This window comes from Homo sapiens, chromosome 15 (assembly GCF_000001405.40).
Source record: "Homo sapiens chromosome 15, GRCh38.p14 Primary Assembly".
In the NCBI taxonomy this organism is placed as follows: Eukaryota; Metazoa; Chordata; class Mammalia; order Primates; family Hominidae; genus Homo; species Homo sapiens.
This window is the reverse complement of record NC_000015.10, coordinates 36,571,510-36,584,140: the sequence shown is the minus strand read 5'-3', so window position 1 is coordinate 36,584,140 and position 12,631 is coordinate 36,571,510. Positions and strand designations below refer to the sequence as shown.

The window sequence follows — 12,631 nt, the reverse complement described above, 5'->3', positions numbered from 1 at the left end:
ACCATCACTCACTGATTCACCAAAAATTGGGTAAATAATTATCTTACTTGTTTAGGCTCACATTAATTTCAATGTTTAATATTAGATGTGTTTTGGGTCTTTATTTTATTTTTTATGGTTTTTTTGAGACGGAGTGTTGCTCTGTCACCCAGGCTGGAGTGCAGTGGCGCCATCTCAGCTCACTGCAAGCTCTGCCTCCCAGGTTCATGCCATTCTCCTGCCTCAGTCTCCTGAGTAGCTGGGACTACAGGCGCCCGCCACCGTGCCCAGCTAATTTTCTGTATTTTTAGTAGAGACGGGGTTTCACTGTGTTAGCCAGGATGGTCTCGATCTCCTGACCTCGTGATCTGCCCGCCTCAGCCTCCCAAAGTGCCGGGATTACAGGCTTGAGCCACAGTGCCCAGCCTTGGGTCTTTATTTAGAAGTTTGGTGATGTTATTATGACCAGAAATATGCTATAGGAACTTAATTCTTGTTTATAACAATTAGCATATGGTAAAATTGCTCTCATTATACATTGTTTCACTTAAAGTTGCAGTCTCCAAAGCCCTACCGAAGACATTAAATGATGACTTACTGTATGGTAAAACTGTAGAAACGAAAATAGAATGAGGGTGAATTTTGGAGTTGTAAGATATTACAGATCACAAAGTCCTACTCCTTCATTTTAAAGTGAAGGATTCTGAGACCACGTAAAACACAGTGACTTGAAAAAACATAATTTTGTAACTTCAGTCAAAACAAGCCATGAAGAAGTGAGGCTACCCCAGAAGTCACAGTAAGAGGAAAAATTAAGCTGGAGAAAAAATTAAGCTACATCTTCACCTCTCAGCATTTACTAAAATAAATTTCAGCCAGAAAGATTTAAAAATTAAGAATAAAAAACAAAGCCATAAAGAATCTAAAAGAAAATTTAGGTGAAATATTTTTTTCTTTCATATATTAGGACAGAAAAGAACTTCCTAAGTATAAAGGCAAAAATGTCAGAAAAAAAAAGCATACATTTAAAAGTTAACCATATCAAAAGCAGAACAATATTTAAAATCAAACAACTGAGAAAATTTATGCAACAAATATGACATATATAGGACCAGCATCCTGAACATATGCAGATCAATAAGTAATAAATCAATAAACAATAACAACAGACATGCCAACAGAAAATTAGGCAAAGGATACCAAACAGGTAATTCAAAGGAAAATTAAGTGGTCAAAAAAATTTGGAAAAAGGTACAACCTATAATAATTTTTAAAATGCTAACTACAAGATGTCATTCTTGATCGAACATATTAAAGATTAAATAATGACTCTTCTCAATACTGGAAAAGTTGCAGAGACAGAGACTCTCACGCTCTGCTAGTAAAAGGACTAGTACAATTTTTTTAAATTTGTCAGTATACATCAAAATCCTTGAAAACATAATTATGCTTTGATTTGAATTAGCTAGTGATTGTCTAAGTGTGGCTGTGGACTTGGAGTCCCTGAGACCCTCTCACAGGTCTACAGGGTCAACACGACTATTTTTATAAAAATAGCAAGATAGTATTTTCCTTTTGCGCTGTATTCACATTTGGACTTATGGTACAAAAACAATGGTGAGTAAAACTGCCAGCTCCTGAGCATAAAACAAGGCACAAATCATAGGCATCATAACTGTACTAGTAGTCACTGTATTCACTGCCACACACGTGCAGGAAAAACAAAACAAAACAAGACTTTCACTAAAGAATATTCTCTTATTAATTGCATTAAATCTCAACCCTTGAATACACAACCTTTTAACATTCTGTATGACTAGAGTAAATACAAAGCACATATACTTCATATCAAAGTATGATGGTTGCCTCCCAGGAAAGCACTTGTATGACTGTTTGAGAGCTGAACTAGCTACTTTTTCTAGGGAACACCATTTTTACTTGAATTAATGATAACAAAGTATATTATTCAGATTTAAGTATCTGGCAGACACTTTCTCAAAAATAAACAATGTGAGCCTGTCATTTCAAGGAAAACAACTAATAGCATTTGTTGCCAATGATAAAATTTGAGCTTTCAAGGGAAAATTCAAATACTGGAATGCTCATATCCATCACCACAAGCTTGACAGCTTCAAATCTTACAGACTTCTGATGAGATTAGAGATGATATTAACAAATGTAATTTTTTGATATTGTATAATGAAAGGTGACATTTGTAAGATCTGCACAACTCACAAGCAACATTTTACAAAGGAATAATGCACGATGATAACAAATCAGGCATGGGTAAAAGATCCATTCAAGTTCAAAATAGGCCAATGGATTGTAATGCAACAAGGTAACAATCACCTTGATGTGGTGATTCACCCACCTCAGCCTCAGGAGTAGCTGAGTAGCTGGGTCTAAAGGCACATGCCACCACACCCAGCTAATTTTTTGGATTTTTATTAGAGACGGGGTTTTGCTACGTTGCCCAGTCTGATCTGGAACTCCTGGCCTCAAGTGATCCTCCCATCTCGGCCTCCCAAAGCGCTGGGATTACAGGCGTGAGCCACCACACCCAGCCCTAAATAGCTCTTTAATCCCTTCTTTTGCGGATTAGTAGTTCAGCTCTCTCTAAATAAAGTTTCCTGTGGAAGGAGAGTTGTTATTTATTCCCTGTATGGCATTTGGGAGAAGTGAAAAAGATTTGAGTATATCATGAATAAGAAAGAAAAGAGCATAAGAGAATACACCAGACAGAAGGGAGGCTTTTGTAAGTGTTGATTAAAGTAACAGACACTTACTTATTATAGAGAAGACAAGGTATTTGCTAGAGAAAAGAACGAAAAAGAGAAAAAGAGGGAGAGGAAGAGAAAAAAAAGCAAAATTACAAGTGATTGCATACATAGTGAGAGGAGAATATCAAAATGTATGCTCTTTCTTAAAACTGCCCAGAAAAATCTACCTATTCCCTTGGCTGACCAGTCTTCACCCATTTCACTGTTCATGTGCAGAACTGGCAAGAGTTAATGACAGAAAATTAAATTATGTGTCAATTTTGTTCCTTCTTAGCAAGTCTGATAAAATACTAAAGGCTATAAAGGGATAAATATTGCCCTAAATCAAATCTGGATAATATTGAAAAGAGACTCCTTCATTTTACAGACTAGGAAAACCAAGTCCTTCAAAAAGCAAAGTCATAACAGAACTTAAACTTATGCTTCAATTTGTACTTTGATACCTATTATCCAATTACCTTTCTTTTCTCAAGAAATTACTTCTGTCGTGTTTGTTCAGGGACTGAATACGTCAAGGATGGGGAAGCTCTCCATTAGGAATAACCATGCTCAGTGCCACAAAACAAAATGGTACAGGTTTGGATTTGGTTTTTCATTAGGAAAAAAGTAAACAAACATTCTCTGCTTTTAACACAACATAAATACAGTGACCTGGTTGTCCTCAACTGGTTCCTCATGTAATGTTGGGGTCTCAGTTTCCACTTCATTAAAATGAGAAATCTACATAATTCCCAAAGTCCTTTCTTAGAAAGTTGGATAATTCTAAAATCGCTGAAAAAAGAAGTGTTTGGGGGAGGAAGTATGAAATACACCCGGAATGTGTGTATGCATAACATATATGGAGAAACTTTAGATCTGGTTGTTCAAATGGCCAATGACCCAAGAGTGGAATCCCTGGGTACCCTGCTCTCTGATTGGATTGAGAACCCTTGAGGTCACTTAATTCCACAGTTAACAGTACAAGCCACAGTCAAACAGTATGAAGCCGCTTTACCTCTATGCTCCCTTGTTTGTTTCCAACGGCCAATTGAAAAGGGTCCTCCATTTGCTCCTTTCGAATCTACAATTCATATTCCCACCCATCATTCATTCCTACTATCTGTCAATTAACCTCTGGTCATTTATGAAGCACCTACTATGTTCACCCATCACCTAGCACGTACCACGTTTTCCATAAATATCTGTTGACTTGAATTTAATTGCAAGGCCTTGGAAGGCTGCCATGAACTCACCGTTAAGAGTTTTGTGTGGAAGGCGAGTGAAAGAATAAACCTTTTTTCGCCAACCTCGACCTCCTAACGCCTGACACTGGTGTTCCTCCCCACTCATGTGTGACACGTGGTTCCTAAGCGCTGCCTGGGCGGCCCAGGCACTGCTGCTGCAGGCAAAGGGCTGTGAGAGGGGAGAGATGGACACTTACCTGGGAAACCTCTGCTTCAGCTTCCTCAGGCTCTGCCTGGTAGGCGGCACAGACACTAGGCACTGGGCTATCTCGTCGTACTGAGCTTTGGTCAGTATCATGTTGGGCCAGGGACCAGGAGGTGGCGGGAACAAGGAAAAAACACCCTGGGGCTCAAGTAGCCTTGGTGCCGAGGGATGAGGGGTAGGCAAAGCGGCACAGGCCCGGGTCCTCGCCTGCTTGGCTTGCCCCAATCCCCCCTGAAACACACCCCTAGCTGCAAAAGCGGGGCGGAGACTCGCCCGGTCCCAGGCTCCACCGGCACCTCCGCGGCGGGGACTGGCTGTACACCAGAGTGCCCTAGCTTGGCTTACTGAGCAGCCGCAGTGGTGCGCCGAAGGCAACTAGCCGCCATGTCAGTTAAGGGCAAACCAACCAGGAAGTAGCGGCCGCCCTTGGAAAGGCGCCGCGCCAGAGTTTCAGTAGGCAGGTAGGAATCCAGGGCATCGCCCACCTAGGATCAAAGGGTCAACAAGGGATGCTTTGTACTCTCCCAATTACTAGAAGCCAGGGCGGCCTGACGCACAGACCAGGCGGCAGGTCTCACGAGTGCCCCGCGATCCTTCAGCGTGAGCCCCCGAAAGCCCCTGCCAGAGCGCGCGATTTGAATACACTTCCTAACGCGCCAGTTTGAGCGCTCCTCGGAGCGTGGACTGGCCTGCCGAGAAACCATGTCTTCACTCTACCAAGTCTGTCATGGTCCGAGCAGGAAAACTCACTAGGGTCGCTGTAAACATAATTTGGCTTGTGTTGAGGAAGCCCTACAACTTCTGTACATCGCGTGGAAGGCAGTTTTGTCCTTGTTGAGAAACAGACTTGAAACAAATCCGACGTCATCAAACAGCCGGCAGTAAAGAATGTCACTTTTGGCCGGGCGCGGTGGCTGACGCCTGTAATCCCAGCACTTTCGGAGGCCGAGGCGGGCGGATCACGAGGTCAGGAGATCGAGACCATCCTGGCTAACACGGTGAAACCCCGTCTCTACTAAAAATACAAAAAATTAGCCGGGCGTGGTGGCGGGCGCCTGTAGTCCCAGCTACTCAGGAGGCTGAGGCAGGAGAATGGCGTGAACCCGAGAGGCAGAGCTTGCAGTGAGCCAAGATCGCGCCACTGCACTCCAGCCTGGGCGACAGCGAGACTCCGTCTCAAAAAAAAAAAAAAAAGTCACTTTCACTCCTTGCAGTTAGCTGCTCAAGGTCTAAAATCGCATCTTATTGTAACCCCAGTTCTCAGAAAATAGTAGGCGCTCAATAAATGTTTGGAGTAATGAGCCAATCTTTTTTTATTTTCTATATGTATTGTGAATGGATCTCAGTTCTCCTAAAGCAATTTGTTGGGATATCAGTCCCTCATTTAATCTCTTTTCTAAAATCTGTTTGGTTCTTAGAAGGTCATGTGTTGTGTTTCTCTTCTGATTTCAACAATTTAAGCAAACTAAAGCAAAGGTGCTTAGACTTTAGAGAACCTGTAAGTGGTTTAAAATTTTTCATCTGGAATAATGCCTGGGTTGGAAGTTTTAGATATACCTCCTTGAATAAATTCCTTAATCCATCGAAGCCTCATTTCTTTTGTCTGTAAAACTGATTTAATTCATGGAGGTGTTTTATTTGTGTATGTTTGATGTAGAGATGGAGTCTTACTCTGTCGCCCAGGCTGGAGTGCAGTGGCTCCATCGTGGCTCACTGCACCCTCGAACTCCTGGGCTCCAGCGATCTTCCCACCTCAGCCTCCCGAGTAGTTGGGACTACAGGCACATGCCACTACACCTGGCTAATTTTAAAATTTTTCTCTAGAGATGAAGTCTCGCTTTATTGACCAGGCTAGTCTCAAACTCCTGACCGGAAGTGATGCTCCAGCCTCTACCTCCCAAAGTACTGGGATTACAGGCATTAGCCACTTCGCCCGGGCATGGGCTGTTTTTAAGATTAACAGGCTGGTACAAATAAAAGATTATATAGCGTGGTGTCTAGAGGATAGTCTATGTGAAATATTAGGTTGGTGCAAGAGCAACTGCGGTTTTGGCCATAAATAAATAGGCTAAGTAAGACTACTTGATAAAAATGGACAGGGCGTTTACTAGGTATTGTTTTACAGGCTCCCCATGCACAGACTCGCTTAATCCTCATAACTTCCTGCCAGGCAGGTACTATTGCTGTTATCCTCCTCTTCCCTTTTGTACAGAGTGAAAAAACTAAGACATGAAAAGGTTAAGGAACTTCTAGAGGTCATGAGGATAAGTAGCAGTAGTAAGATTTAAACTCCTGAAATTTGGTTCCAGAGTCAGTGCTCTTGCCAACTTTCAGTAATGCTTAATTACTACATCAAATAGTCACACTGTCTTAAGCCAAAGGTTAAGGATTTTTTTTTAAAGGGAATATTGTACATTTCAAAGAATCTTTTAGCCTTGGTTTTTAAAAACTTCACTACTTTTAATTTTCTGAGGCATCTCAAAATCCAATACCAACAGTGGATCCTGAATTTAACAACCATAGTTTTTCCTGAATATTGACATCAGAATGTTTTCTTCCCATATGCTTTGCATCTAGCTCTGATTGTGTGACATTAGTACATAACTATTTATTTATGGCAGCGTGGCCTGGAGTTGCCACCTGGCTAGTTTGTTGCTGACCCTGCCATGACTTTTACATGAAAGCTAGCTGACGATAAGCAGACACCACTTGATCCTCATTCCTTTCCCCTTCCCAACTTTACTCTTTCCTTCACAGCCATCAGATTTTTATAGAAAACAGCAGTTCAAGGATGTTTGCACCAGTTTTTTTTTTTTCTTCTAAAACAAAAACAAAAACAAAACGGGATACATATACAGAACGTGCAGGTTTGTTACATAGGTATGCATGTGCCATGGTGGTATGCTGCACCTATTGACTCGTCCTCTAAGTTCCCTCCCCTCACCCCCAACCCCCCAGTAGGCCCTGGTGTGTTACACCAGTTATTTTTATAGCAGCTCTTCTCTCTGGCTCTTGTCCTGCATTCACCATCACAACCCTTCAGAAAAATGCCAGGTTTGTTTTTCTGTTTTTATTTTTAACATGTTGGCAGTTTATAATTTTGACCCAAATCCAGTAGATGGTTTAGAATTAGTGCTGGGAAAAAACCACAGTTATGTTGCTGTTTTCATTGGCAGTGACAGTGGTGTTGTTTATTAGGCACAAAATAGAAGCAAAGCAAAAATTTCTAGTTGTTGTTGTTTAGGTTTTTTTTTCTTGTAATGTGAAATGGCTAGAATAAGCTGATTATTCCTCTGAGGCATCTTTTCTCCCTCCCTTAGCCTCCTCCAGCTTGCTCCCATCTCTCGTCATATCCCATGCCCCTCATCTATTGCTGTTACTTCTTCTAGAGCTGCCTCTCCATTCCTGAAGTTCCACACTGTTTCTTAGTCAGCCAGCAATACCATTTCCCCACTAAATGGAGTAGAATCACGAAATGAAAACACCAAACTAAAAACCCAAAGAACAGGCTGCCTGTTTAAAATCAGCCATAAAATGTGTGGCCTTTAGCAACTGATAGCCTCTCTAATTCTGAATGTCCTCAATGGGAGAAAGAATCTAAAACTATGGAAAAGGTAGAGGAAATCAGCAAAAAAATGTGTCAAACTGGGGACCAGTACAGCTCCCTGGAAGAACCTATAGTCCTGGATGGACCGGAGTGAATCACTTAACTAGATTTCTTTCTGCCAATTTTTGGATGACATGACTGTTGAACAACTTTAAAGGAGTATGGAGTTTGGCAGGGAGGCATCTAAAGGTCATTTCACGAAGGGCACTAACACAAAAGACTAAAAGTAGGAATGAGCCAGTCACATGCATGGGAAAGTTATTCTGGTTGGAGCAAAGAGTTCTGGGCAGAGTAAAAGGAGTTGAGGATGTTTGACCTTGGAAAGAGTCAGTCATGTTTTCAAACAGACTGTTGTTCACTGAGTCTGCCAGAGCCAATGCATGTTTTAAAAAATAAATACTGACATATTGTTTTTATATATTGTAAAATCTGATTATTTTGATGGAGTCTCAAAGTTATCACATGGATTTAAAAAAAATAATTGAAGTTTATTAACTGGATAGAGAAAAAGAAGGGAGCTAATATTATTTGAGCTCCTATTATGCATAGTCATTATCCTATTATACCTTATCTCACTTAATCTTCACAGTGACCCTATGCTATAGAGTTTATAGTCCCTGATTTACAGATTAGGAAACTGAGACTCAAAGAGAGTAAGAACTTACATGATGTGTCCAACTACTAAGTTGCAAAACTGTGATTTGAACCCAAGTTACTCTGAGTATAAAGCCTCATGTTCTCTATTGCACTGTATTGTATTGTGTGTATTGTATTGTAATTCAAAAATGATTTAGAAAACTTTTTGGTTGAATTATCCTCAGTTACGCATTTATTCTGTGAAACGGCCTGAAATAGCTGGCTGCTTTCTTTGGCCACCAGATGACTGTTAAAGGGACAATGACCTTCAATTTTGACATGTAGCCAAAACACACTTTGAAAAATATTCTTTGGCCACTTTGACTAGAAAAGATGTTATATTTTTTACTTTGTACAATGGGCCACCACCTTAAGTAATATATCTCTTGAAACCAAAGTTTATGTCTCTATACTTGCCATCCTTGAGTGACAAGTCATTTTTATGTTGGCCCCCAAATAATACAAGCTCCTAGCAAACAATAAAGATCAGAATAATTCAATTGTTTAGGCCTGCAGCAATTACTCAGTTTAATGACTTAAGGAAAACAAAGGAATCCTGCGATGGAAGGATGTTTTACACCATAATGATGAAGTAGTTATGCTAAAAGGTCAGGGAAGACCAAAAGCCAAATGTTGGTCCCTTCATGGAAGTCAATGGTAAATGAACTCTTGATCTGTGAAATCAGTTGGTCTGATTCCAGAAGATCACGTGTAGATGGAGGATTTCATTGAAAAGTCATTGCAAACAAACGATGTCCCATGTGCACATAATGGCACCTCCTCAAGCCTTTGTTATTCAATATTACTAAGAGCTAATGTTTTGGAGGGCATTTACCAAAAGCAGGAATAGTGCTAAGTACCTTACATACATATATCTTCCCTTAAGTCTCAGATCCAGCCCCAGGAGGGAAGTACTATTGTTACATCCACTTTCCAGGTAAGAATACTACAGTGTAGAAGTGGCTTCTATTTAACTCATCATTTATTTTACAACATTCTAGAATGGTGTTTATCAAACTATCTGTTTTGAGTTCCTAGTTTTTCCCCAATTTGTCATGGATGGACAAATTTGTAAAATAAGAAATGAATTAGTCAAAAAATGAAATTTAAAAAGACACACATAAAATGTAAGCCCCCAGTTTGTTAGGAGATCCAATAGACATGCAATTACTTGACAGATTAACATAAAAGATTCTAAAGGCTTATTTTCACTTTCTCTACTTACTACATCATGACATATAACAAAAAGTTTGAGGACCAGTGCTAGTTTGCTCACCGCATTTTGAGTAGCACTGTGTCTTACAAAGTCAATATCGTAAGCCAGGTATGTGCAAAGGCCAAGGGCTGATTCCAAAGTCTAGAACATCACATTCTTCATGTACTCTTGAAAGAGGAGTGTAAGACCTGTAAGCATCAACCATCATTATTATTACCATTATTCTACTGTATTTAGTTCTTCTCAAGTTATGCGTGTTTACTAAGGTTAACAATGCAAATCCTTACATGCTATTTAATTATGCACCTTATAGCAAAAAAACCCATTTTTTTCTTTTTTTTCTTTTTTTTTGAGACAGTCTCACTCTATCACCCAGGCTGGAGTGCAGTGGCGTGATCTCAACTCACTGCAACCTCCATCTCCCGGGTTCAAGCGATTTTCCTGCCTCAGCCTTCCGAGTAGCTGGGATTACAGGCACCCACCACACCCAGCTAATTTTTGTATTTTTAGTAGAGACGGGACCATATTGGCCAGGTTGGTCTCAAACTCCTTACCTCAAGTGATCCGCCCACATCGGCCTTCCAAAGTGCTGAGATTACAGGCTTGAGCCACTGCGCAAGGCCCCCAATTTATTCTTTAGATTATAAACCCATCAATCAGAGCTCATATACCTCTTCTGTTCTGAATCACACTCAGGACACAATTGGCACATGATAAAGGCTATTAATTGGCATGTGCACTTTCACTATCACTACATTTGACAAAGTTAAGGAACAAAAAGTAGTTTTTTTTATAGGGACAATTTCTCTTGAGTGTTTGTGTGTTATAGCAAAGGGAGATGTGTGAGCATGTTTGTTGAAGAAAAACTGAAGTCTCTTACATTTTCTCTCAGGCTCATCAGGGACTGGTGGATAAATTGCAGACAATTTGTATACCCTATTCCTACAGGACTAAACTTCAGATGTAATTTCTGCAGATGTCAATCACTCTTATCCCAAAGACCATTCTGCAAAAATATGCATACTATGTTCTGAGGGTTTTCTCACATTTGTAAATTCAGAAATTGAAAGAAGCTATGTTGAAAGAACTCCAGCCTGGGTGGAGTAGAGGGTTTCTTTTGGGGTGAGGGGAGAGGAATGAGAGTCAAGGAATCAAGTCTGTCCTTAATAAGCACTTCTTTCAACATAAGCTAGAGTTGGAAGCATATGTCAGATGAAGATTAGATATAAATCCCTTCACTTAAAAAATTACTCTATTTTGGCCGGGCACAGTGGCTCATACCTGTAATCCCAGCACTTTGGGAGGCTGAGGCGGGTGGATCATTTGAGGTCAGGAGTTTGAGACCAGCCTGGCCAACATGGTGAAACCCCATCTCTACTAAAAATACAAAAATTAGCCAGGTGTGGTGGCACGCTCCTGTAATCCCAGCTACTCAGGAGGCTCAGGCAGGAGAATCGCTTGAGCCTGGGAGGCGGAGGTTGCGGTGAGTTGAGATCACGCCACTGTACTCCAGTCTGGGCGACAGAGTGAGACCCTGTCTCAAAAAAATAAATAAATAAATAACTCTATTTTGCCTTCCCACTGGGTTAGACTTTCAAAAGATTGGGCAAGAGGCCAGTCAGTATTTATAACCCTTTCCCTCTCCATAATTGATAGAGAGTTAAGGGAAAGAATTCCTTCTGAAATAAATATAGATATAATAATAATAATAGGTTCCTTTCTTTTGAGAAAATATAGTTATGTTTTACAGTTATCTAATGTAGTGCCATCATGTAATCTATAACTGCCATTATCATACCACCTTGGCATATGGGGAAACTGAGGTACAAAATGGCTTGGAATTTTAATCAGTTTCTTTAGATTTCATTTTTAAATGTGAGGCTATAAAAATACACCTCTCTTTTTTTAACTTAATTTCTTTTTTATGATCATGAAAGAAAAATGTTTTTCGTAGCCAACAACAAAAGATCAGATACTGTAAATCATGCATTATCTCATCACTTGGAAGCCACCATAGTAACCACATTGACATTATTCCTTCCAACCCTTTTCTGCAAAATTTTTTTCTATACATAGATAAAATCAAACTATATATACACCTTGAGTCCAGCTCTTTTCTATTTCTATTACACCATGAGCAAGGTATTCTTTTTTAATTCATTAATTATTTACCTAAATAAATGATTTCTTAGCCCACATATTCATGTTTCATAGTTCAGGAACACAGGTCAGTAATGAACTTCTATGTAATTCAACCCCCCAAAATTCTTTATATTCCAAAATCACTTTGCACTCTGAAAAGTACCAGTCTTCCTCATGTCCTCAAAATCTTTCATGGAATCGTAATTTCTGTAGAAATCTGTGTATGCCTTCTTTCTTGGTTCAGCCACAGCAATTTGATAGAGAGCTGCCACCAGCCAGAATACCACAAATGCTCCAACAATGTGAAACCACAGGTACTTGGCTAGAAGGCCATACACCTGAGGTTTCGTCAAAACACTAGGAGACATGGAACTTATTTTCCTTGATAGGTGTGTCAGCCTCAACACCAGTGTCCTTCCTGGCGGATGGAGAAATGGGTGACCTGCACTATGAGCAAGGCACTCTTAAGAACACTTGGTAATTTTGACCCTAATTTCATATTAAGAATAGAGTAGTAGGTTGTGTACAGCAGATGGACTCTCACAAGCTAGTCCTTGAGATGAGATCCTTGGTGTGGCTAGCAAGAGGCTAGGCCATTCTTCAGTTCCATCAACAAACTGCAATTCAGACAATGTAGAAATGATGTAATGGGCCCTCTGGAGCAAGGTGGAGATTTCTGTGACTGATGGACAACTTTTCTGGGCATTCCATTTGCAGAGCTATGATTGAAATCATATCAGTGAGCCTCCTACCACATGTACATTCTGTCAGTCATCATGTTGACAGAGGATCCAGCATGCATTTTTTTTCAGCATGACTACTAGTTGTATCTGAACATTCAGA

The 12,631-nt window shown here is 40.3% G+C and overlaps 1 protein-coding gene and 1 pseudogene across 17 annotated transcripts in view, besides 1 other annotated feature; both read right to left on the bottom strand.

The window, feature by feature from the left end:
* The window catches only part of CDIN1 (CDAN1 interacting nuclease 1), a 230,619-nt gene extending 226,104 nt beyond the window's left edge, over positions 1 to 4,515 (bottom strand). For all 17 annotated transcript variants that reach the window (XR_007064491.1, XR_007064492.1, XM_047433174.1 and 14 more), the window contains exon 1: positions 4,180 to 4,515. Coding sequence is in view for 12 of the 17 variants with exons in the window: in NM_001321761.2 (NP_001308690.1) it covers positions 4,180 to 4,280 (101 nt within the window). In the remaining 5 variants the exon portion in view is untranslated. The remainder of the gene's footprint in view (positions 1 to 4,179) is intronic.
* Positions 4,277 to 4,396: an enhancer, noted in NCBI's record as "active region_9193". NCBI's record gives its function as "activates an Ori minimal core promoter by ATAC-STARR-seq in GM12878 lymphoblastoid cells {active_cell/tissue: GM12878}" and the evidence as "EXISTENCE:reporter gene assay evidence [ECO:0000049][PMID:35858748]".
* Positions 11,832 to 12,211, bottom strand: COX6CP4 (cytochrome c oxidase subunit 6C pseudogene 4; annotated as a pseudogene).